The sequence below is a fragment of the Homo sapiens genome, chromosome 7 (assembly GCF_000001405.40).
Source record: "Homo sapiens chromosome 7, GRCh38.p14 Primary Assembly".
In the NCBI taxonomy this organism is placed as follows: domain Eukaryota; kingdom Metazoa; phylum Chordata; class Mammalia; order Primates; family Hominidae; genus Homo; species Homo sapiens.
The window spans coordinates 12,999,186-13,024,247 of record NC_000007.14 but is presented as its reverse complement, the minus strand read 5'-3'; the positions used below and the strand labels follow the sequence as shown (position 1 = coordinate 13,024,247).

Here is a 25,062-nt window from a genome sequence, read left to right as displayed (position 1 = left end):
CTTTGTCTGGCAGCTGTGAGAACTTTTTACCCCATCCCCTCACAGAAACAAATAGAGAAAAAAAAGTTCATTTAACACTAGATAATGAAATCCTTTTTGAGATACCATTCACTGGCATGATGCAGTTTTAACAGTAAAGCTTAATCCTAAAATTTATTCAAGCCAAGTGAGAATCTGAGTCAATGAAGCTTGGTAAAAATGAATTAGCTGCCTCAAGTGACCATATCAAAATGCCATTCTCTCCTTTCAGATAGACAATATAAATATTGCTAATGGGACAGCTTTAAAATTTTAAGATACATCAAGCCAAATTCATGCAATCATACATTTTTACATTATGGTTAATGTAAAAAGGAATGTTTTAGCTACAAATAGACACAAATCAATTTAATAAAATCTTCACACAAATCAAAACTAAACATCTGTTAATTTTACAGTATCTTGGTAAAAAGAGATTTATGGATGTGTGCGTGTGTGTGTGTGTGTGTGTGTGTGCTGTCAAGGGTAGGGTCTGTTTATTTGTTTAATTTCTTTGGCTGGCATATTTCTGCTGTTTAATATAACAGCTGGCATATATGTATCAATAGTCATTCTCTCTCTCTTTCTCCAGCTCCCACTCTTTCTTCCTCCCCTTACCTTATATGCATACACATACACACTTTAGGTCATTTTAAAAACTTGTGTCTAGGCCGGGCACAGTGTCTCACACCCGTAATCCCAGCACTTTGGGAGGCTGAGGCAGGCGGATCACGAGGTCAGGAGATCGAGACCATCCTGGCTAACATGGTGAAACCCCGTCTCTACTAAAAATACAAAAAATTAGCCGGGCTTGGTGGCGGGCACCTGTAGTCCCAGCTACTCAGGAGGCTGAGGCAAGAGAATGGCGTGTACCCAGGAGGCGGAGCTTGCAGTGAGCCGAGATCACGCCACTGCACTCCAGCCTGGGCAACAGAGCAAGACTCTGTCTCAAAAAAAAGAAGAAGAAGAAGAAAAAAAAAAACAACAACTTGTGTCTATACTATACTTAGGTCATTACATGAAGATTTCTTACCTATTTACCCTGCATATCTCTAATACAAATTGTGTATTTGAAGACTTTGGATCAAATTGTCACAGAACTTTAGAAAAAGCCATTTGGAAATATTTAAAATGCTTATGGAAATACTGATCTTTGAGTATCCTTGGGAATTAGGATATAATTTAAAACAATGCATTTATTACTGTTATATGGCTGCCTCAAATATTAGCCCTAACAACAAGAAGCAGGCACTAGAAAAATGCATTTATAAAATTCATCCTCACCATCTACTTAACCTACCACCAGACTGCAGTTGACTATCATTTGCCTTACATGTCTTTCACATTTCAGATTGTATAAACATTTTAGATAACTATATAATAAAAACTGTGGAATTGACATATGTAGTTAATGAGACAACATCAAAACACAATCATGTTAGAAAGTTCATGCCCTTCAAATAGCTTTTATTTGGATTTAATTATTTTATTTTATGTTAACAAAGCTTAAATTAATTATAACACTTAACTTTTTGCTTTGCATGCATATGAAGTCTTTTCACTCTGACTCAGTTGGAGGAACTGTCTCCCAAGAGGTATCAAGACCCCTTTGAATCCAGCTGTGTTTGACTTCCCCCTCCTGAACTCTCCAAGCCAAATAATGGCCCAGCATCCATATAATTATCTTTACAAACACACTTTTAGCACTAAGCATATTTGGCATTTACTAGGAAAAAGGAAAGCTTTGCCTCTGAATCTAAAAAGACAACGAACTAATCATATACTGCATGTGTGTATTGATCAAGTCTGCTTGATGTCAAAGCAGGGCACATGAAGAAAGAAAATCATAAATCTATTACTTACTAAATTCAAACATACAATCATTGTGGTTTAGTTTCTTAGAGCTCAGTACACATATTTATTAGGATCAAATTCAAAATAATGTAAAAAGTCTTGTTCCGATAGAACAAAGCTACTGTGAATGAATAGGAAAATATTTTCTTGAGCAATGGAATGAACAGTGCCTTTATTCCTTAATGGATTTTCTATTTTTACACTAAAACTATACAGTACTGTTCTCTTTATCACATGCAAGAGGAAAGCATAGTCATCCAGTGCAACTGCTGAAAATAAAATATTCTTTCCTATTTGAAGCTTTACCCATAGCTCCTCGTCCATGTGCTTGTTTCTAAGATCAATGCTAAACCCATGTACGATTTGCATGTAAATGCTTTGTGATCCTAATATTGTAATTCCTTTCTTAAGATAAACATTTCAGTCACTAAAAGTATGTATTTTTACAATACCTCAGAAACCTTAAGGGTGTTTTCAACTCAATGAAAATATATGCAGCCCACACATAATGAATTTCAAAATCCTTGAACAGATTGTGTGCATTGTAAACAGTGCATAATGCTCTTTGCTGTGAATGGACAGGCATGTGTGAGCCTTTAACCACAGAGAGGCACATAGGTCACATTCTCACAACAATGCCTTCAAAATGAGAAGGCCCCGCCATCTGCAAAGGAGCATGGTAAGTTTTTCTGGGGCGGCTTTACGGTTTATCATATTGTCAACACTGCATGTGTGAGCTGAGATTCAGTTGGTTTTCTTAGAGTTGTAATATACACCATTGTTTTCTTTGGTCCTCACCAAAACACAATCTCTTCTGATAAATAAGCAGTGACTAAAGGAGAGTAAACTCTATCAGTTGGATTAGAGTTATAAGATTCTATGGTTGTTTCTTAAACAGACATAGTTGATGGAAAATGTTAAGGGCTCACAAAAGTATTTCTCTGTGTCTGATTTTTCTCTAACTCCAGCTGCCTATTCCACATTTCTAAAATTTCAAACTTATCATGTCCAACACTGAAGTTCTGACATCTTTCTTCAAACCTGCTCCTCCCTGTCTTTCTCATCTAGTTAATGGCCATTGCATATTCAAACACAAAAAAATGCTTTGGAGTCATCTTTGATTATTTTCTTTCTCTCACTTATTTCCCACACTTATTTGAAATTATTCTTATATCTGGTAATTATTAAATATAAAAAAGATGGTTAAAAATATAAAAGGGAATAAAATCTATTGGGAAACGTTTCTTTTTTTGGTCACTAGACCAAGGCATAATAAACCATTGAAAGAAAATCCTGCTGGAAAATCAAATCACACAGTGACTCCAAGGATTTCTATGCCTTTACCTTGGTTTAGAAATACAATTATTGTAGTTAAGTGTTATTTTTTGTCCCTCACATTGTCAAATCGGTTTTAAAATAATAACACAGAGCAAAAGAAACAGAAACTCTCATATATAGCTGATGGGAAAGCAATAGGTGAATCATTCTGGATTTCATCTAGGCTCATGGTTTTAAGTATGATACACATACCCATGGCAGAATTAATTAGTGTTCTCATTGCTTCACTTCTGTCTGTATCCACAGGCTTTACTAGGTAACTTTGAATTTTCTCCCAGAAGAAGGGGAACGGAACTCCCTATTTCCTGACTTCGGGATTGGCCTTGTGACTTGGTTTAGGCAATGAGACAATATTAGATATGAAATGTGTTTGGGCAATGGTACCCACCCTCTTATGTCTATGACCGTAAGAAGAAAGCTGAGTCCCAGCAGGGATACAGGTGGAGAGGACTAAAACCCAGATCGTAGAGAGTAGCGACGTCCAGTGCAACCCTTAGCTTAAGCACAGCTGCCTAGCTAAGGCCAGTCTAGAAGAGCCAATCATAAGTCAACTAGCAGACACGCGAGAAATAAAATCGTATCGTCACATTCCACTGAGATTCTATGGTTGTTTCTTACACAGCAATAGCTAATGGAATGTTAATGGCTCGCAAAAGTATTTCTCTATGCCCGACTTTTCTCTATTTATCATGTCCAACACCAAAGTTCTGACATCTTTCCTCAAACATGCTCCTCATTGTCTTTCTCATCTAGTTAATGGTAACTGCACATTCTACTCAAATACAAAAAAATCCCTTGGAGTCATCTTTCACTATTTCTTCCTCTCACTCCCTCTTACAATCTTTCAGTAAATCCTATCAGCTTTAGCTTCAGGATTTGACCAAATTTCATTATTTTCAGCGCTATTACTTGTGTCCTACTTGCATCATTTCTTTCCATGGTATTGCAATGGTCTCCTAACTGGACTCTCTGCTTCTGCTCTTATCCCAAATAATGCTAGTTTTGGGATTAGATTTAAGATTAGTCCTAAGATTAGTCAGAATGCTAAGTTCAATCATGTCATTTCTGAACCCAAATCCCTCAACCACATTTCATGTGAAAAAAATTTTAAATGTGAATTACTTTTGATCAAATAATCCCATTTTCAAAAAAAAAAACACAAATAATGAGAAGAATATGTAGATCTATATCCATAAGGATATTTATTACAGGTTTATTTATAAAAAAAGAAAAACAAGAAAAATCAACCTAAATATCCAACTTAAAAGGCTTATAAAAATATGGTATAGCTATATCATGAAAATAGTACAACTGAAAAAATGCAAACGGAAACATCGTGTAGACTAATAATCACTTTAATCATGTGGTATGGAAACACGTGAAATCAACCACCTTGCCAACCATATTGATATTAATAACCCAATTTTTTGTAAAATATTATTTAATAATTAATGAATAAGTAGATATACATCAAAATTAAAACTATCTCTGTGTCTAGAAAATAAGAAAATTGTGTTTTTTTTGTGGTGGGGGTTGTTTGTGGTTTGAGAGATTTTTTTTTAAATTTTCACAGTGAAAGCAGCTACTTAATCCAAAAAACAAAATATCTATGATACATACCTACATCTAGGGAGCAAGAAAATCCTGTTGTTTTCATCCAAACCACAGCTTTTAAAAAGCAAGACAAAACTTTAGGTGACAAATGTATCATAAGTATCATAATTCCTACCTTAGCACTGCCTGAGTAAGACTTCACAGGAAGTTTAGAAAGATAATCCAGAACTTCAAGACTAAAACTGTACCAGAAGAAATTAGATCTGTTGATATATATGTATTTTAAATCAACTACAATTATTCATTTATGTCCGTTCCCATTTGAAATAGCTGCACTGAGCACCTGAGTGGCTCTGGAGTGAATATGTGTAAGATCTTAGAAGAGGCCACATGTGTTTGTTCCTGACTCAGGCCCTCAGTGGCTGAGCTGAAATAGATGGCCTTCCATGGTGATTTTGAACAAAACAGTTTTGAATTGTTTTAATCCAAGTCATATATTGTGAACTTTCCACCCAAGGTAGACCATTGCTTGCGGACGTAAGAAACATTGATATTGAAGTGCAAATTAATGGGGCAGATACAAATAATAATTTTGCAAGTGTGTCTCCTGATTTATCAGATTCATAATTTGCATTCATCTCACCAATTTTCTTATTTAGCTTATTTCTTAGTTATTTCTTGTATTTCAAAAACATAGGAGAGTACAAAAGTACTGTATTCATTTTAGTCTTTCATTTATTGAAAAACTATTCTATCCTTGCCCAGAATGTGTTATTTGGATTTGCAAGAACTGGAAAGTAGCCTTAGCATTTTTTATCTTTTCATTTACAAATAAAAATCAAGAAATTATTTTAAAAATGAATTTAAGTGCAAAATGCAAGAATTACAAATACTAGCTCACTGAATCATTTTTTCATACCCTAACACATATTTCAACTCAGTGTAAATTTTAACATACAGTCAATCCTTAATTCAAACATAACAAAGCAAGTAATCTTTAAATTAATTTGCCAAAAATATTAATATTCTGCGTGAATATTTAATATTGAATACTTCTTTAAAATATTTCTTTAAAATATTCTACATAAATATTTTTTAAAAATAAATTTAAACATACTATTTGGCTATTTGTAAATAATTTTTTTTAATATTAGAAGGTATCTTTTTATTACACAGAAACTCAAATCAAGAAATAATTTTTAAATCCCTAAAAAGGGGGCAAAATATATTTGTAAATATCTCTCCTTAAAGGAAGACAATTCACTTTAGGAAGGTAGAAGAAATGAAACCCTGTGGAAACTGCTGCAGGGTAAGCTTCTCACACAGTAAGGAGGCAGGGCTAAATCCTAAACTCAAGAGTTCAGATTCTATTTCCTTAAGACCTTTGTGGTTTTATAGTCTGGCCAATTTACACAAAGAGGAAAACAGAAAACAAAGGTAGTCATTGCCCTAAACATTACTTGTGAAAATTTAGAGCCACATTTTTTCACCTTGGGTAGGAAGAAAAAAAAAGAAGAGGAAGAAAGAGACAGAGGGAAATAGAAAGCAAGCAAGCAAAGGAGCTTATTTATCTCCAGAAAATTCATTATTTTCCCAATGGTGGGTAAGCTGGAACAGGAAGGCAACACCAGTTTTATTTTGGATGATAAATGTTATCTTGTGCAATTTCACATATAAGGTGTGTTCCTTCTCCTGCCTACTAAGTTAAGGCATGTGGGCGTCTGAACATTTGGCTTAGAGCTAAAAATGCCACGCCGAGATTTGTCTTTGCTCTATAGGACTCAAACTGGCAGAAGAACATAAACATGGTATGTAAAACTTGGTGTTCCTGCTCCTCCTTTAAGACTTAAAACAAACAGACTGGAATCCTACAGCTGTGGATGACTCAGATCCACAAAGGAGACAACTTCAAAAGCAGCCTCTCTAGTCTCCCTTTCATCCTATCAGTAGCGAATTGATTAGACTGCTCTCCCATTATCCAAAGCATTCCACACTCTGTGGGCCTCACACAACCTTTGTGTGCTAGAGAAGCTGAGGCTCCCACACAAAGAAAAAGAGAGAAAGGTCACCCAGGACTGGCAGGTATGGATCTCATTGAAAGCAATCACAAAAATCACATTGAAAAAAATCTATGTAAATCAAACTAGATAATCTGTGCAATATCACTAACTGATTCATTTTCTTCACTTCAGATCTTCAAATCTTGTCCTTTAATATCTGTTTCTTGACATTTTATATGTAATGTACATATATAATGTATTGGAGAGAAAAGCAATTATGAAGGCGGCTTTTGAAGTCTGTGAGTCATGTGAAGTTACAAAGTTCAGTGAGAAACAGCTTGAAAATGGAAATTCAGTCAAAGATGAGTGATTCAACCTGGCAAAGCTTTGTTAATCGGTGCTTTAAAGTAACACAATGATTAAAATATAATCATTGTTTTTTAAATTTTTATTTCAAAATATCTTGCCACCTTCTTAGCATAAGGATATATGCATTTTAGCTGAATGGATGTTTTTCAAAATCTGTTTGTGAAGAATGTTAGTGAAACAGGAAAGGTTCCCTTGTCCCCCTTGGAGGGCGTGCAACAGGGTGACTGGCTTGCTTCTTCATTGCCCACTTCTCAAACCTCTAGGGGAGCATACAGACGGCAGGCTGTGAGGCTCCGACCCCACGTCAGTGTCTTGGGGTGAGTGTTTACAGCTGAAGCATCGGTGGGTGTGTGTTACAGGGTACTCTCTTAGTTGGCCATCTATAGGCGGCTTGTGTCAACCAGCTCAGTTAGACCCCCTTCCGTATCACAAGGACAGGGGGATTTCTGTATCCTAGGATTTCTTGCTTTGGTGTACTGGAAGAATCAGATCACATGTGGGCTTGGAGAATGAGTGCAAGGTTTTATTGAGTAGAAGTACCTCTCAGCACATGTGGGAGCCAGATGGGAGATGGTTTTCCCCTGGACCAAGTGGCTGGACTTTTCTCTGACTGCTCCAGCCAAACTCCATGTCCTTCCGCTGGTCGATGGCCTGCAGGTGCCCATCAGCGTGCTCGTCTGCTGGCGTGCTCTCAATGACCAGCCACTTGTGTCTTCTTCCCCGGATGTGTTCCTCTCCACATCTAGCTGCTTCTGTGTGTCTGCCCACTAGGGTCTCGGGTTTTTATCAAGATGGGGGCATGGTGGGCCAGGGTAGTCCTAGAAAATGCAACATTTGGGCAGGAAAGCAGGAGTGGCTGTCTTCACCTAGGCCCGTGGGGGTGGAGCCCTAGCCAGGGACCCGCCTTTCTCTTACCCAGCACTTCCCTTCCCCCTTCCATATAATTTAAAGGGACCATGCTCTTTCCTTCCCAGCACTCCCCTATCATTAGCATGGTTATTATGTAAGACTTGCTATGTCAGCAAATAAGTTTATTGTATCATACACGAATTAGGCAACTTTTATCGTCTTTTAAGATGTAAAGAATTCCATCATCATAACAAGCAATTCCGTGCAGTTGTGAACACACTCTCTGTTCTATGGCTGTGAGTTTGAAATGTCATCTATAATCTAAAGAATGGATGAAGTTTAGATTTCTTGGAGTTGGGCTATAATAAACTCAAGACATCATCATTCTCTGTAACGCTCATTCCTGGCTCTATGGTGTGGATACATAGTTACTGGATTTCTCAGGTGTTCCAGGAAATGCAATTTAAAGGAAAGGAAGAAAGGAGACATCTTTCTAGACAGCTTTAAGCTAGTTATTTTTCACATTTCTTTTCTTTGTTAATATAAATATTTCAAATACAAGATAAAAAAGGAGGTCCAACCTATGTGTATATGAAGCCATAGACGTACCACCAGATGCAATTCAGGGGTCTAAACACCATAGCTGAACAGGGCTGCCTTTGCACTTGACATAAAATGCAGATTATCTTCCAGTTCTACTGCCATTTTCTTTCCTTCTATTGATGAGTTTTCTATTACCTGCTGGACTATTGTGTTACTAGTAGTAACACACAGTTCTTTGTACAGAAGGACCATCCACAAAATAAGCAGTCCTTTAGCCGTTGCAAAGCCTGTTTTTAGAACTAAATACATTCTTCCCAAAATGTGAGGGTTTTATCAGGTTGGTAAAGGAAGAAGTAAAATATAGAGAAAAAGAAGAATATTCACTTTTGAGCCTTTGCATTCCTTAAATAACAACAGTCCTTGTTTCTCTCAATTCCATCAAAGCATATTTTTTCATTTATCATTTTAAATTCTGAATATTGTAAGCAACAAATGAGGAAAACTGGGGAGTAGAAGATATGGAATCTGTCAGTTTATTCCTAGATTTCAGGTGGAAAAATATGAAGTGACCTATTATGCCCCTGTATAAGGATTTTTGATTCTTCAAAAAGCCATAAAATTAATCATGATTAAAATTACTTTATAGTGTCAGATCTCTGGTATAGCATAAACAAATTTAATCTTTACTTATTGGTAGTAGTAGTAAAGCATAATGGGCCTTTTATATGGTGAGCCAAAAATATTTTTTTGTTAATATTTTCTTCTTTTGGATAACTTGGACTATTCAGTTGACATTTAGTCAGCTATTCTTGCAGTAATATAAGCCATTCTGTCCACTGGATTCATTCTCCTCTAAAGTGGTGTTTCACTCCAAATTGTGGGTGGTTCTGATTGCTAGTGTTACCTAACTGAAAAGATGACTTTTTCAGATAGCTAACTTTAAAAACAGATGTCTACACAAAAGTAGAGTAAATAAATAAACCATATAATAAGAATGGCTAGTAGCTACCTTCTAAAGTTGAAACAGTATTGTGCAGGAAAACATAAAAATTAGAATGCAAATAATTGTCTTTTGCTGATAGAGTTTAAAATTTAACAAAATAGACAAAAAAGCATACATGTGTTTACATGAATCTTCTTGTATACAGCAATGTGAAATTTACTTAAATCTCCTTCAACTTGTATTCATTTTGCTAACTCTGGATCAATATTTTAACATCAGCTTTTAAAAAGCAGATCTCAATAAATACTATCTCATCCGAATGCCTGCATTTTTCAATTTTATATTGAAAGGGTAATACTGAGTTATCACTTCTACTCATCATATTATCCTAAAACAGGGTTTTTTAAAATGTGATCTATGCAGGAGGTCCCTGAAACCCTTTTTGGGATCTATTAGGTCAAAACTATTTCATACTAATACTAAGATATTATTTTCCATTTTATACTGATTTTCTCATGAGAGTACAGTAAAATATTCCAGAGGCTACATGACATGATATTGCAAGAGATTAAGTGCTGAAGCAGATATAAGACTCCAGCTGTCTTTTCTAAACCAGACATTAATGAGCTTTGCAAAAATGTAGAACAAGGCCAATTTTCTCATTTTTTTTGTTGTAGAAACATTTTTCACAAAACCTACTATTTATGTTAATATATAATAGATTTGTTTTTGCTGTTTGAAACCGATGAATAAATATTTTTGAACGTCTCAATTTTAATTTCTAACATGGTAAACACTGACAGATATTAAGTACATAAGAAAAAGTTATTTGGATTCCTCAATAATTTTAATAAGTATTTGAAAATCTTGGCCTTAGAACATACTTGAGCTTTACGATATATTTCTTTTATAAAACTTAAAAATTAAAATAAATTCTGAATTCAGGTACCGGTCCTACCATTTTCTTTGAATCTGCATTTTTCACCTACAGTAATGTGGCCATAGAATAAGAGCTCAGTAAATACCTTTAATTGATTGACAGGCAATGTTTCATTTGGAGAAAAAAGAAAAGACAACATAAATTTATAGACACTTGGCAAACTACAGATATCCCCTTTGCTGGCTATTTCATTAAGTTGTATCAGTTTTCCTCTACCAGATTTTCCTGATAGTGTAGCAAACTATCTAGAAAAATAATACTCCAAGCAGTACTGAAGATAATGAATCTGTTAGGTCTAAAAGTAATGATAGATAATGTCTGGATGTGAACTTGCATCTTCATTTATTTAATGAGTTCTCTGTTCTCTCCCCAGGCATGGTACAGTGTAGCTAGTATAAAGTTGGTCTGGTAATGTTTAATATCATTCCACCCGGCATATTAAAATCAGAGCTGTTCCCACAAGAGGCGTCAGAAAAATCAAAGGCCATTTTACCGATCTCCTACATAATTCTGAGTCATTCTTCTCCTGTCCTGATCTGACATATTCTCATTTGAATTAAAACCTAGGACACATAAATTGAGATTGTTCAATAGATCTAACTTTTTCTCAGCCAAACTCTCTTGGGACCAGAAATACTAAACACTGAATTTGTTCTCCCAAACTTGGGTGTAGAATTCATTTTTTTCATTTCTGATTGATGGTTGCTAACACTTTGACTACCAAGAAAGTCTCAAATGTGGTCTTGATTTCATAAAACAAGTCTAGATAAGGAATATTTTCCCTACATGCTAAAGCATAACTAAAAACAAAGAGTATTTCTCTTATTTGGACTGGAGTATTTCTCTTAATTGTACCCTTCTATCCATTGCTGTTCTAGATAGAATGAAATTTCTAACTAGCTGGGCACCACCAAGTTTAGCATGTTAGCGTACATTTTATCAGGTGAATCGATTAAGTGATCCATGTGCAGGATGGCACTCCCTCCATCACACAACCCCAATTGGAATCATGAAGCTGATCTTTTCAACAAGTGGAGGGTGGTGTGATAGAAATTGATCAGACTGTTAAGCCAGGAAGGCCTATATTTCAGATTCAGCCTTGCCGCTTGCTAGCTTTGTGATATTGACAAGTTCATTTTAACCACCCTGAACCTCAGTTTCCTTTCTGTAAAACTGAGAAAAGCAATGGATATGGTGAAGAACAGGTATGAGGCTATATGTAAAAAAAGTCCTAGCACATTAACTGTCACATAGTAGGCAAGTAAATACAGTAAAGATTGTAGAGCTAATCAGGTAGATATTTTGTTATTTTATACAAGGGTATCTATTGATATACGGAGTTTAACGAAAGCTGGAGGAGAAAAACTAAATTTGCTTAAGAAATCTAAGAACTTGATATAATAAATGAGATAAAAAAATCCCAATTCCCCTTTCAAGAGAAGAAGTTTTGAATTTCTCTAGATAGACTAGAATAACAGAATCATACATGTTAAATAACGTTAATGGTTGGACTTTCCAGATTTGGGGAATGATAATAGTAAAAATGACTTCTGAACCCAATGACAGTAGCAGTCATGGAATCATCCAGAATTTGAAGAAAATGTCTCAGTTCATCTCAAGCTACTAAGCAAAAGCAAATACAAAATCAATTAACCACTACCTTGAGAGGTTTGTTGGCTGGAAGACAGGGGTGGTGTGAGCAGAGGTTAACACTGGACTTCATGCTAATTTTGATAGATGAGTTCTTTAGTGTTATAATTTATCACCCTATTGGGTACCCCAACTAAAAAGGAATATTGAAGGAAAATTAGGCAAGTACACATGGGATATTACAACTTTTGTTCTATGGCACAACCCATTTTTTCCAAAGACAATTTTAGTAATATTAGATTACAGCCAGTACTATCTGCTCATTTTCTTGTGTGTTATTTGAGATTACCCTGTAAGGATGCAGCATGAAAATGGAACTTGACTTGCCCAATCTTACTGGTGCTGAGAAAGCAACTTATTGGTATTGTGATCAGGAAGTGATTGTAGACACCTTAATCACTAAAGCACTACTTATGTGATTCTCTGTGATGTTTTCACAGCCATTCAAATGAAGTTTCATTGAAAGTTATTGAGAATGTGAAAAGTATTCTGCAAAAAGAAATATTTTAAAATCGTATTTCTTAAGTGGCATATCAAGATCAATGTATTAGATAGCTCTTTTAGACTAGATTTTTGTCTAGAGCAACTTACATAGATTAACTCTCAAAACTAGAAATTATTCATCCTCTTACTGATGACATTACTATATTAGGCCAGTCTCACATTGCTATAAAGAAGTACCTGAGTCTGGGTAATTCATAAAGAAAAGAAGTTTAATTGGCTCATGGGTCTGCAGGCTGTACAGGAAGCATAGTGACATCTGCTTCTGGGGAGGCCTCAGGAAGCTTCCAGTCATGGCAGAAGGCAAAGCGGGAGCAGGCACATCACATGATGAAAGAGGAGCAAGAGAGAGCGAGTGGGAAGGTGGTAAACTTTCTTTTTTTTTTTTTTTGAGACAGAGTCTTGCTCTGTCACCCGGGCTGGAGTGCAGTGGCGCGATCTCGGCTCACTGCAAGCTCCGCCTCCTGGGTTCATGCCATTCTCCTGCCTCAGCCTCCCAAGTAGCTGGGACTACAGGCACCCACCACCACGCCCAGCTAATTTTTTTGTATTTTTAGTAGAGACAGGGTTTCACCGTGTGAGCCAGGATGGTCTCAATCTCCTGACCTCGTGATCCGCCCACCTCAGCCTCCCAAAATGCAGGGATTACAGGCGTGAGCCACTGTGCCTGGCCTTTTTTTTTTTTTTTTTTTTTTTTTTTTGAGACAGTCTCACTCTGTCGCCCAGGTTGGAGTGCAGTGGCATGACCCCCACTCACTGCAAACTCTGCCTCCCAGGTTTAAGCAATTCTCCCACCTCGGCCTCCCAAGTAGCTGGGACTACAAGTGGGCACCACCACGCTGGCTAATTTTCATATTTTTTGTAGAGCCTGGGTTTCACTATATTGCCCTGACTGGTCTCGAACTGCTGGTCTCAAGTGACCTGCCCGCCTCTGCCCCCCAAAGTGCTGGGATTACAGGTGTGAGCCACTGTGCATGTCTGCTACACACTTTAAAATGACCAGATCTCACTCACAGTTATGAGGACAGTACCACAAGGGATGGTGGTAAACCATTCATGAGAAATCCACCCCCATGATCCAATCCCCTCTCACCAGGCCCCACCTCCAACACTGAGGATTACATTTCAACATGAGATTTGCTCAGGGACACTCATCCAAACTACATCAACTACTATCAAAAGCTGAAATAGTTCTCAGGATGTGCCATTATCACACAATCTTCAAACACTGTTAGCACATTATGTTAGCTCAGATTTTCTACCTCCATGTGGTCTCGCCAAAATATTGAAACTCCTACATCCTTATGACAATAAATTCTTCCCCATTGAGCTTTATATTCAGCCTTTCCCCAAGATAACTCCATTCAAATTCATTTTCACATGTTCTTCTGGATCCTTTCTGTGCTTCGAGTTTTTTGGAGTAAAAGCTATTTCTTACTGGCAAAGGTCGTTCTTATACCTCTCTGCTCAAGCTGTTTTAAGACTTGATTTCTTTTCTTTTTTTTTTTTTTTTTTTTTTTGAGACGGAGTCTTGCTCTGTTGCCCAGGCTGGAGTGCAGTGGCGCAATCTTGGCTCACTGCAAGCTCTGCCTCCCAGGTTCACGCCATTCTCCTGCCTGAGTCTCCCAAGTAGCTGGGACTACAGGTGCCCGCCACCACACCTGGCTAATTTTTGTATTTTTAGTAGACACAGGGTTTCACCATGTTAGCCAGGATGGTCTCGATCTCCTGACCTCGTGATCTGCCCGCCTTGGCCTCCCAAAGTGCTGGGATTACAGGCGTGAGCCACCACGCCCGGCCAAGACTTGATTTCTGTTACATATCTAGGAGCAATGAATGGTGGTGACAATAAGTCTTGTGGAAAACAGACATTGTCTTTAAAGTCATCTGCTTCAGAAAAGTCATTCCAGAATTCTCCTCTGGCAATGGGGAGGTTTTGTTTTCTGGGTTGTTTTGTTTTGTGTTGTTGTTGTTGTTGTTGTTGTTGTTGTTGTTGTTGTTGTTTCCAGCCAGGAGATTCTAGGAAATTTGGGAAGGGTCCAAGATTTTTTAGCTCATCCACTGAAATGTCACTATCCCAAGTCTCAGAATTCCACCTCTTCTCCATTAGGATTCTGTCTTTGGTGGAAGATCTGTTTAGGCTGAGGATTTATTCTCCTTTTAAGTATATAACCAAATCCTAAGCCTGGTGTTCAGCAAGAATGCCCTGTGGCTGCAGGAAATAAAAATCTCCTTTACAGCTGCCATACAGGTCCTCTGGCTGTAGAACATGAATTTTAAGTTTGTAATTAGCTGCCTAAACCTATCATTTTCCTTTTAAAATTTCCTGTGCCATTAAAAGGAGTTACTTCACTTTATTATCCTTGAAATTATCATTGTTCCTATAATGATCAAATGCTGCAGGTACTTGATTTCTACATTTCTTCCCTCCAACTTCACTTATTCCTTATTAACTATAGTGATAGCTTGAGGTAATTTTGATACCCGAAGTTAGTATCACACCACTATCTCCATACAAGGGTTCTTATTTATTTTATAGAAATGAGCAGTCCATCTCCAATTCTCTTCCTAAGGGTTTGCTTCCTAGAACTATCCTGGTTTCCTAGAAAACAGAGCCTGAGGCAACGATTAACGGACAGTCATTTATTTAAAGATGAAATCCCAAAAAAGCAAAGCAGAGAAGGACAGGAAGTGAAAAAATATAACATGTGAATGCACTGGCTTCTGCTTCATAAGACCTCATCGGATATACCTGCCTAGCCACATGAGCAATCTATAGAAAGGAGGAATGGTGGAATTGTGCCTAGGAAAGTTCCATCCACTGGAGAAAGTGAAAGGTGATTTATCTATCTACTTTATTCTTCTGTCTTTCATTGGTCAAAGTTTTCTTCAGCTGGATTTAACTTCATCACAGTTTTAGGTTGAATCATCTGGGCTTTTTGGCAGCTACTTGAAAGGCAAATCCATGGCTTGCTGTGTGATATTTTATTAGAATCCAGAAGTAATGAGAGATATCACAGACTCAAGATGCCATTGATCTCAGATGGGTGAAACCACTTCGGCTAGTAAGGAGTCGGTTATCCACAGTGATTGCTGGAGGAGGAGTATTTCACCTGAGGCTCCAGGAGACAGTTAGGCCAAGACTACTTACATATTAAAAATTACATAATATGTACATATTACACTCAAATTTATGAGTGATAAATTCAACAAGCAGCAAACAGCCAATATTGAGGAATCCTTCCATAACTAATATTTAGACCTTTCATAATCTTAAGGTAAATAATGTTTGATGATGATGATCAAGTGCTACAGAAAGGATTTGGGAAAGTTCAGAAGCAGAGGGCTGTATTGTTAAGCCTCCTGACCACATTGCAGATTGATGGAAAAGAGATGTTTGCTCATAATTCAAGGCTAAAGACCATATAATAGACCAGCGAAGAAGACAGCAAAGTGTTTGGAAATACAGATCAAGCCTCTTAGTTTGAATAGAATCATTCAAGCTCTGACTGCGAAACCACAGACCTTGCCCGACATATTCAATTTACTGAAAGATGGGTAAGAGAAGGAATAACTTTCTTAGAGCATCAAGAGAGGATAAAAAAGCAGAAAAGTAATAAAAGCTACTAGCAAAGCTGTGCTCACATACCATGGCAGTGCTTCTCAAATTTTATGTGCATATGAATAATCTAATCATCTTATTAAAATATAGATTCTGATTCACTGGTTTTTCAGTGGGGTCTGAGATTCTGTGTTTCTAAAAATCTCCTGAGTGATGCCAATGCTACCGGTTTGCAGATCACAATTTGTGATACTACAAAATATCATACAGTATTAACAACTAGTACAGATAATACCCAACACTACAGGGGAAATCCTAGGAGAGCGTTATTTTTTTCCAAAAAACAAGATTAAGTCCTGTTTCATAGTCTGTAAGGGGCAGGTTACTGAATCAACATCACAAAATGGGCAAACCCAATCTTACCAGGATGCAAATGAGGGGCACAGGCAGTTAGTTATCAGCAAAAGAAAAAACTACCTATGCTACTATGAAGGCAAGGTAAAAAGAATCTAGGCAAAGTTGGAAAACAGTGAAAGGACTTGAGGAATGGGCTGCTCTTGGCACCAATGTGGTACACTCATGCCAAATGGGATTATAAACCCTACTGCCAATGGTCTGATGAAGTGGAAGGCAGAGGTAGCAGAGACCACAGAAGGAATTTGGGTCTCGATATTTCTGAATAATTGGTCAAAAAAGTGGCTGTGGTTTTAAAATCACTTAAATAGAGAAATATAATCCATATCCCATCATGGCAAGCAGAGATTAAGATTTGAATGAAATTGCCATTGTTTAATTGTTTTGCTATTAGAATTTTGCTAATCAAATTCCTGGGCAGCCAAGTGATGTTCAGAGAAGAAAAAAAAAAAACACTGATTAAAGTTATAAGCCCATATGTAAGAAAATATGTTTGTGGAGAGGGCAGGGGCTTATGTTGATCAAGACTTTTACTCTGTTGAAACACTTGCCTAGTGTTACAGATGTCAGGCTTGCACAGAAGCCTATAAGAAAATAGGAGCAGAAAAGATAAAATTCTTTTATTCTCCATTTGCTCTTTAGCGACAAACTCAACTGGATCCTTTAAATTAAATTTAAAAAAATGTGTTCCCAGGGAATTTTTAATACTTAAAGAGTAAAAGAAAGAAAGAAAAGTGAAGGAAAGCTATAAAATGATATAAGGAACATTTTTTCCTTTACATAAACAAGGTGTAGTCTCAAAGTGGATCTTTAAGACCCACAACACCCAAGACATTTGGAATAGGTCTATAAGATTGTGAGGTTTAATATGTGCTTTGTAAAATCATACTAAGAACCTCCTGATAAAAATCATCATGCTAAGTGCATTAACATGTTTCTCCCATTGTACAGATAGGCTGAACATTCCTAAGGATAGGATGAAATTGTTTCAAAGAATCCTGTGAATAAAATTGATTAAAATGTCCTCAATAATTACCTCCGCAGATTGAAAAACTTCAAGATAAAAACACCAATATTTGTGCACCAGACATGTCTCTTGAACTTCCAACTATACTTAATAAAAGATCTTGTCCTTGATGTTCTCTGGGAATCCCACACTCATTATATGCAATAATCATACTCATCATCTTATCCCCTATCACAAAAACTTATTTTTTTAATTTCTTGTCTTACTGCATTTTGGTTAGTGTTGACATCATATACATCCAGTGCTCCAAAATCAGATACCAATAATTCACAAACAGAGAATTAAAAAATAGAAAAAAAAATTAAAACACAGTTGATTTTTTAAGGTAAAATTGACAAACACTTAGCTAGACTAACAAAAACAAAAAAAAAAAAAAACCACGAGAAAACTCAAATAAATAAAACCAGAAATGAAAGAGCGGACATCATAACTTATGCTACAAAAATAAGCAGGATGATAAAATCTAATATGAACAATGATATGTCTCTAAATCAGATATTGTGATGAACAATGATATGTCTCTAAATCAGATATTGTGGTATGGATGAATTCCTAGAAATAAGCAACCTATCAAGACTGAATCATGAAGAAATAGAAAATCTGAATAAACCAATAACAAATAATGAGATTGAATTAGTAATCAAAACCTCCAAACACAAAAGCCCAGTACTAGATGGCTGCACTGGTGAATTCTACCAAACACTTAAAGAAGAATTAACACCAATGTTTCTTAAACTCTTTCTAAAAACTGAAGAGGAGGAAACAATTCCAAGCCCATTTTACAAGGCCAGCATTATACTGATACCAAAACCAGATGAAGACACTACAAGAAAAGGAAACTACAGTTCATGATGAACACAGATGCAAAAATCTTCGGTAAAATGCAAGCAAAGAAAATTCAACAGCACACTATAAAGATCATATACCATGGTCAAATGGGATTTACCCCTGGGATGCAAGGATGGCTCAACACAACCAATGCAATTAATGTGATGCACTACATTAACAGAATGAAGGATAAAAATCACATCATTGGCCGGGCATGGTGGCTCACACCTGTAATCCCAGCACTTTGGGAGGCCGAGGTGGGTGGAGCACCTGAGGTCAGGAGTTCGAGACTAGCCTGGCCAACATAGAGAACCCCTGTCTCTACTAAAAATACAAAAAATTAGCCAGGCGTGGTGGCAGGTGCTTGTAATCCCAGGTATATAGGAAGCTGAGACAGGAGAATCACTTGAACCCAGGAGGTGGAGGTTGCAGTGAGCCAAGACCACTCCATTGCACTCCAGCCTGGGCAACAAGAGCAAAACTCCATCTAAAAAACCAAAACAAACAAACAAAAAAAAACAAACAAAAAAACCCCACATCATTATCTCAATAGATGCAGAAAAGCATTTGATAAAATTTGACTTCCTTTCATCATGAAAACTCTCAACAAGCTAGGTATAGAAAAAATTTACCTCAACATAATCAAAGGCCACCACTACTCAATGGTGAAAAATTGAAAGCTTTTTCTCTAAGATCACAAACAATAAATGGATGCCCACTCTTGCCACATCCAGTTAACACAGTACTGAAAGTCCTAGCCAGGATAATTAGGCAATAATAATAATAATAATAAAAGAAAGAAAGAAAGAAATAGAAAAGGAAGGGGTAAAATTACCTTTGTTTGCAGATGTCATGATTTTACATGTAGAAAACCCTAAAGATCACATCAAAAAAAAAAAAACTGTTAGAACTAGAAAATGTTCAGTAAAGTTGCAGAGTTGCAGGATGCAAACCAACATATAAAAACTAGTTGTATTTCTAGACACTAACAATGAACTATCTGGAAAGGAAATTAGGAAAACAGTCCCATTTACAATAGCATCTAAAGAATAAAATACTTAACCAATAAACTTAACCAAGGTGGTAATAAGACGTACATACTGAAAACTATAAAACATTGATAAAAGAAATTAACATAAGACACAAATAAATGAGAAGGTAACCTGTATCCACGGATGGGAAGAATTTATATTATTAAAATATCCATACTACCCAAAGCAGTCTCCAGATGTGATGAAATCCCTATCAGAAATCTCAATAGTAGTTTTTACAGAAATAGAAAAAACAATCTTAGAATTAATATGGAACCACAAAAACTCCCAAATAACAAAGTAAATTTGAGCAAGAACAAAGCTGAAGGTGTCACACTTCCACATTTTGGAATATTACAAGTCTGCATTAATCAAAATTATATGGTACTGACATAAAACAGACACATAGACCAATTGAACAGAATGGCCCAGAAACAAACCCAGTCATATATAGTCAACTAATCTATGATGGTGTTAACAGTACACAATGAGGAAAGGAGAGTCTCCTCCATTAAAAAATGTTGGAAAACTGGATATTCACATGCAAAAGAATGAAACTGAAGGCTTCTGTTACACCATACACATAATCAACTCAAAATGGATTAAAGATTTAAATGTAAGATGTGCAACTGTAAAATTCCTAGAATAAAACCTAGGGAAAAAAACTCCTGACATTGAAGTTGGCAATAATTTCTTAGATATGACACCAAAAGCACAAGCTTTATACAAAAGCAAAAATTAACAAGTGAGACAGCATCAAACTAAAATGCTTCTGCACAGCAAAGGAAACAGTCAATAGAGTGAAAAGGTAACCTATGGAATGGAGAAAATATTTGCAAACCACATCTGATGAATGGTTAATATAAGAAATTCTTACAACTCAATAGCAAATATAAAAAACAAATAACCTGATTAAAAAGTGGGTAAATGACACAAATAGACATTTTTCTAAATAGGTTCTCGACATCACTAATTATCAGGTAAATGCAAATTAAAGCCACAATAAGTTATCATCTCATTAGGATACTGGGATTGCTATTACTTAGAAAAGCAAAACACAACAAGTGTTGCTGAGGATGTGAAGAAATTGAGACCCTTCTACACTACTGGTGGAGATGTAACACGGTTCAGCAACTCTGAAAAATAGTACGGAAGTTCCTCAAATAATTAAAAGTAGAACTACTGTATAATCCAGCAATCACAGTTCCATGTGTATATCCAAAAGAATTGAAATCAGTATCTCAAAGAGATAGCTACACTCCCATGTTCACTGCATTGTCCACAATAACCAAGATATGGAAGCAACTTAAATGTTGATCAATGCATGAATAGATAAAGAAAATGTGGTTTATGCATGCAATGGAATATTATTCAGCCTTTAAAAAGAGAAATTCTGGGGCAGCTGACAAGATGGCTGAATAGAAACAGCTCCATTCTGCAGCTCCCAGCGAGACCAATGCAGAAGGTGGGTGATTTCTGCATTTCCAACTGAGGTACCCAGCTTATCTCACTGGGACTGGTTAGACAGTGGGTGCAGCCCACAGAGGGTGAGCAGAAGCAGGGTGGGGTGTTGCCTCACCCAGGAAGTGCAATGGGTTGGGGAACTCCCTCCCTTAGCCAAGGGAAGCCATAAGGGACTGTGCCATGAGGTATGATACTATCTGGCCCAGATACTATGCTTTTCCCACAGTCTTCACAACACACAGACCAGGAGACTCCCTCGGGTGCCTACACCACCATGGCCCTGGGTTTCAAACACAAAACTGGGCGACCATTTGGGAAGACACAGAGCTAGCTGCAGGAGTTTTTCTTTTTCATACCCAAGTGGCACCTGGAACACCAGTGAGACGGAACCATTCACTCCCCTGGAAAGGGGGCTGAAGCCAGGGAGCCAAGGGGTCTTGCTCAGCAGGTCCCAATCCATGGAGCCCAGCAAGCTAAGATGCACCGGCTGGAAATTCTCGCTGCCAGTACAGCAGTCTGAAGTCAAACTAGGAGGCTGGAGCTTGGTGCGGGGAGTGGCGTCTGCCATTACTGAGGCTTGAGTAGATGGTTTTCCCCTCACCTTGTAAACAAAGCCACCAGGAAGTTCGAATTGGGCTGAACCCACTACAGTGCGGCAAAGTCACTGTAGCCAGACTGCCTCTCTAGATTCTTCCTCTCTGGGCAAAGGCATCTCTGAAAGAAAGGCAGCAGCCTCAGTAAGGGGCTTATTGATAAAACTGCCATCTATCTGGGACAGAGCACCTGGGGGAAAGGGTGGCTGTGGGTGCAGCTTCAGCAGATTTAAACATTCCTGCTTGCCGACTCTGAAGAGAGCAATGGATCTCCTAGCACAGCACTCGAGCTCTCCTAAGGGACAGACTGCCTCCTCAAATGGATCCCTGATCCCCATGCCTCCTGACTGGGAGACACCTCCCAGCAGGGGTCAACAGACACCTCATACAGGAGAGTTCTGGCCGGCATCTGGTGGGTCCCCCTCTGGGACGAAGCTTCCAAAGGAAGGAGCAGGCAACAATCTTTGCTGTTGTGCAGCCTCCAATGGTAATACCTGGGCAAACAGGGTCTGGAGTGGACCTCCAGCAAACTCTAGCAGACCTGCAGAAGAGAGGCCTGACTGGAGATCGAGACCATCCTGACTAACTCAGTGAAACCTCGTCTCTACTAAAAATATAAAAAATTAGCCAGGCATGGTGGTGGGTGCCTGTAGTCCCAGCTGGTTGGGAGGCTGAGGCAGGAGAATGGCCTCAACCTGGGAGGCAGAGCTTGCAGTGAGCTGAGATTGGGCCACCGCACTCCAATCTGGGCGACAGAGCGACACTCCATCTCAAAAAAACAAAAAAAAAAAAAAAAAAAAAAGAAGAGGGGCCTGAATATTAGAAGGAAAACTAACAAACAGAAAGCAATAACATCAACATCAACAAAAAGGATGCCCAGGCAAAAACCCCAACCAAAGGTCACCAACGTCAAAGACCAAAGGTAGATAAATCCACGAAGATGAGGAAAAACCAGCGCAAAAATGCTGAAAATTCCAAAGATCAGAATGCTACTTCTTCTCCAAAGTCACAGTTCCTCACCAGCAAGGGAACAAAACAGGATGGAGAATGACTTTGACGAACTGACAGAAGTAGGCTTCAGAAGCCACTGGGTAATAACAAACTCCTCCAAGCTAAAGGAGCATATTCTAACCCAATGCAGGGAAGCTAAGAACCTTGATAAAAGGTTACAGGAACGGTTAACTTGAATAACCAGTTTAGAGAAGAACACAAATGACCTGATGGAGCTGAAAAACACAGCACGAGAACTTTGTGAGGCATACAAGAGTATCAATAGCCTAATTGATCAAGTGGAAGAAAGGATATCAGAGACTGAAGATCAACATAATGAAATAAAGCATGAAGACAAGATTAGAGGAAAAAACAATGAAAAGGAACAAACAAAGCCTCCAAGAAATATGGGACTATGTGAAAAGACCAAACCTACGTTTGATTGGTGACCTGAAAGTGACAGGGAGAATAAAACCAAGTTGGAAAACACACTTCAGGAAGAACTTCCCCAACCTAGCAAGACAGGCCAACATTCAAATTCAGGAAATAGAGAACACCACAAAGAAACTCCTCAAGGAAAGCAACCCCAAGACACATAATCGTCAGATTCACCAAGGCTGAAATGAAGGAACAATGTGAAGGGCAGCCAGAGAGAAAGGTCACGTTACCCACAAAGGGAAGCCCATCAGACTAACAGCAGATCTCTCTGCAGAAACCCTACAAGCCAGAAGAGAATAGGGGCCAACATTCAACATTCTTAAATAAAAGAATTTTCTACCCAGAACTTCATATCCAGCCAAACTAAGTTTCATAAGCAAAGGAGAATAAAATCCTTTACAGACAAGCAAGTGCTGAGAGATTTTGTTGCCACCAGGTATGCCTTACAAGAGCTCCTGAAGGAAGCAGTAAACATGGAAGGGAACAATAGGTACCAGCCACTGCAAAAACATACCAAATTGTAAAGACCATCAACACTATGAAGAAACTGCATCAACTAACGGGCAAAATAACCAGCTATCATCATAATGACAGGATCAAATTCACACATAACAATATTAACCTTAAATGTAAATGGGCTAAATGCCCAATTAAAAGACACAGACTGGTAAACTGGATAAAGAGTAAAGACCCATCAGTGTGCTGTATTCAGGAGACCCATCTTACGTGTAAAGACACACATAGGCTCAAAATAAAGGGATGGAGGAATATTTACCAAGCAAATGGAAAGCAAAAAAAAAAAAAAAAAGCAGGGGTTGAAAACCTAGTCTCTGATAAAACAGACTTTAAACCAACAAAGATCAAAAAAGACAAAGAAGGGCATTACATACTGGTAAAGGGATCAATACAACACTAAAAGTTAACTATCCTAAATATATATGCATCCTATATAGGAGCACCCAGATTCATAAATCAAGTTCTTAGAGACCTACAAAGAGGCTTACACTCCCACAAATAATAGTGGGAGAATATAACACCCCACTGTTAATATTACATCAACGAGACAGAAAATTAACAAGGACATTCAGGACTTGAACTAAACTCTGGACCAAGTGGACCTAATAGACATCTATAGAACTCTACACCCCAAATCAACAGAATATATTTTCTTCTCAGCACCACATAGCACTTTTAATGTAAAATTGACCACACAATTGGAAGTAAAACACTCCTCAGCAAATGCAAAAGAATGGAAATAATAACAAACAGACTCTCAGACCACAGTGCAATCAAATTAGAACTCAGGATTAAGAAACTCACTCAAAACCACACAATCACATGGAAACTGAACAACCTACTCCTGAATGACTACTGGGTAAATAACAAAATTAAGGCAGAAATAAATAAGTTCTTTGAAACCAGTGAGAACAAAGACACAATGTACCAGAATCTCTAGGACTCAGCTAAAGCAGTGTATAGAGGGAAATTTATAGCACTAAATGCCCACAGGAGAAAGCAGGAAAGATCTAATCAACACCCTAACATCACAATTACAAGAACTAGGGAAGCAAGCACAAACAAGTTCAAAAGCTAGCAGAAGACAAGAAATAACTAAGATCAGAGCAGAAATGAAGGAGATAGAGACACAAAAAACCCTTCAAATAAGGAATGAATCCAGGAGCTGGTTTTTTGAAAAGATTAACAAAATAGATACCAATAAAGAAGATACTAATAAAGAAGAAAAGAGAAAAGAATCAAATAGACACAATAAAAGAATGATAAAGGGGATATCACCACCGATCCCGTGGACAAACTACCATCAGAGAATACTATAAACACCTCTACACAAATAAACTAGAAAATCTAGAAGAAATGGATAAATTCTTGGATACATATACCCTCCCAAAACTAAACCAGGAAAAAGTCAAATCCCTAAATAGACCAATAACAAGTTCCGAAATTGAGGCAGTAATTAATAGTCTACCAACAAAAACAAGCCCAGGACCAGAAGGATTCACAGCCGAATTCTACCAGAGGTACAAAGAGGAGCTGGTACCATTCCTTCTGAAACTAATCCAAATAGTAGAAAAAGAGGAACTCCTCCCTAACTCATTTTATGAGGCCAGCATCATCCTCATACCAAAACCTGGCAGAGA

The 25,062-nt window shown here is 37.6% G+C and overlaps 1 long non-coding RNA gene across 1 annotated transcript in view, besides 2 other annotated features; it reads right to left on the bottom strand.

Moving 5' to 3' along the window:
- Positions 1–25,062, bottom strand: part of LOC105375158 (uncharacterized) — a 130,320-nt gene that overhangs the window by 37,750 nt on the left and 67,508 nt on the right. The gene's annotated exons all lie outside the window — the stretch shown is intronic.
- Positions 6,432–7,631: an enhancer, noted in NCBI's record as "CDK7 strongly-dependent group 2 enhancer chr7:13056242-13057441 (GRCh37/hg19 assembly coordinates)". NCBI's record gives its function as "activates an origin of replication core promoter dependent on BRD2, BRD4, P300/CBP, MED14 and CDK7 cofactors, with strong dependence on CDK7, by STARR-seq in HCT116 cells {active_cell/tissue: HCT116}" and the evidence as "EXISTENCE:reporter gene assay evidence [ECO:0000049][PMID:35650434]".
- Positions 6,507–7,122: an enhancer, noted in NCBI's record as "OCT4-NANOG-H3K27ac hESC enhancer chr7:13056751-13057366 (GRCh37/hg19 assembly coordinates)". NCBI's record gives its function as "activates a minimal SCP1, AML or CMV promoter by ChIP-STARR-seq in naive and primed H9 embryonic stem cells {active_cell/tissue: H9 hESC(naive and primed)}" and the evidence as "EXISTENCE:reporter gene assay evidence [ECO:0000049][PMID:30033119]".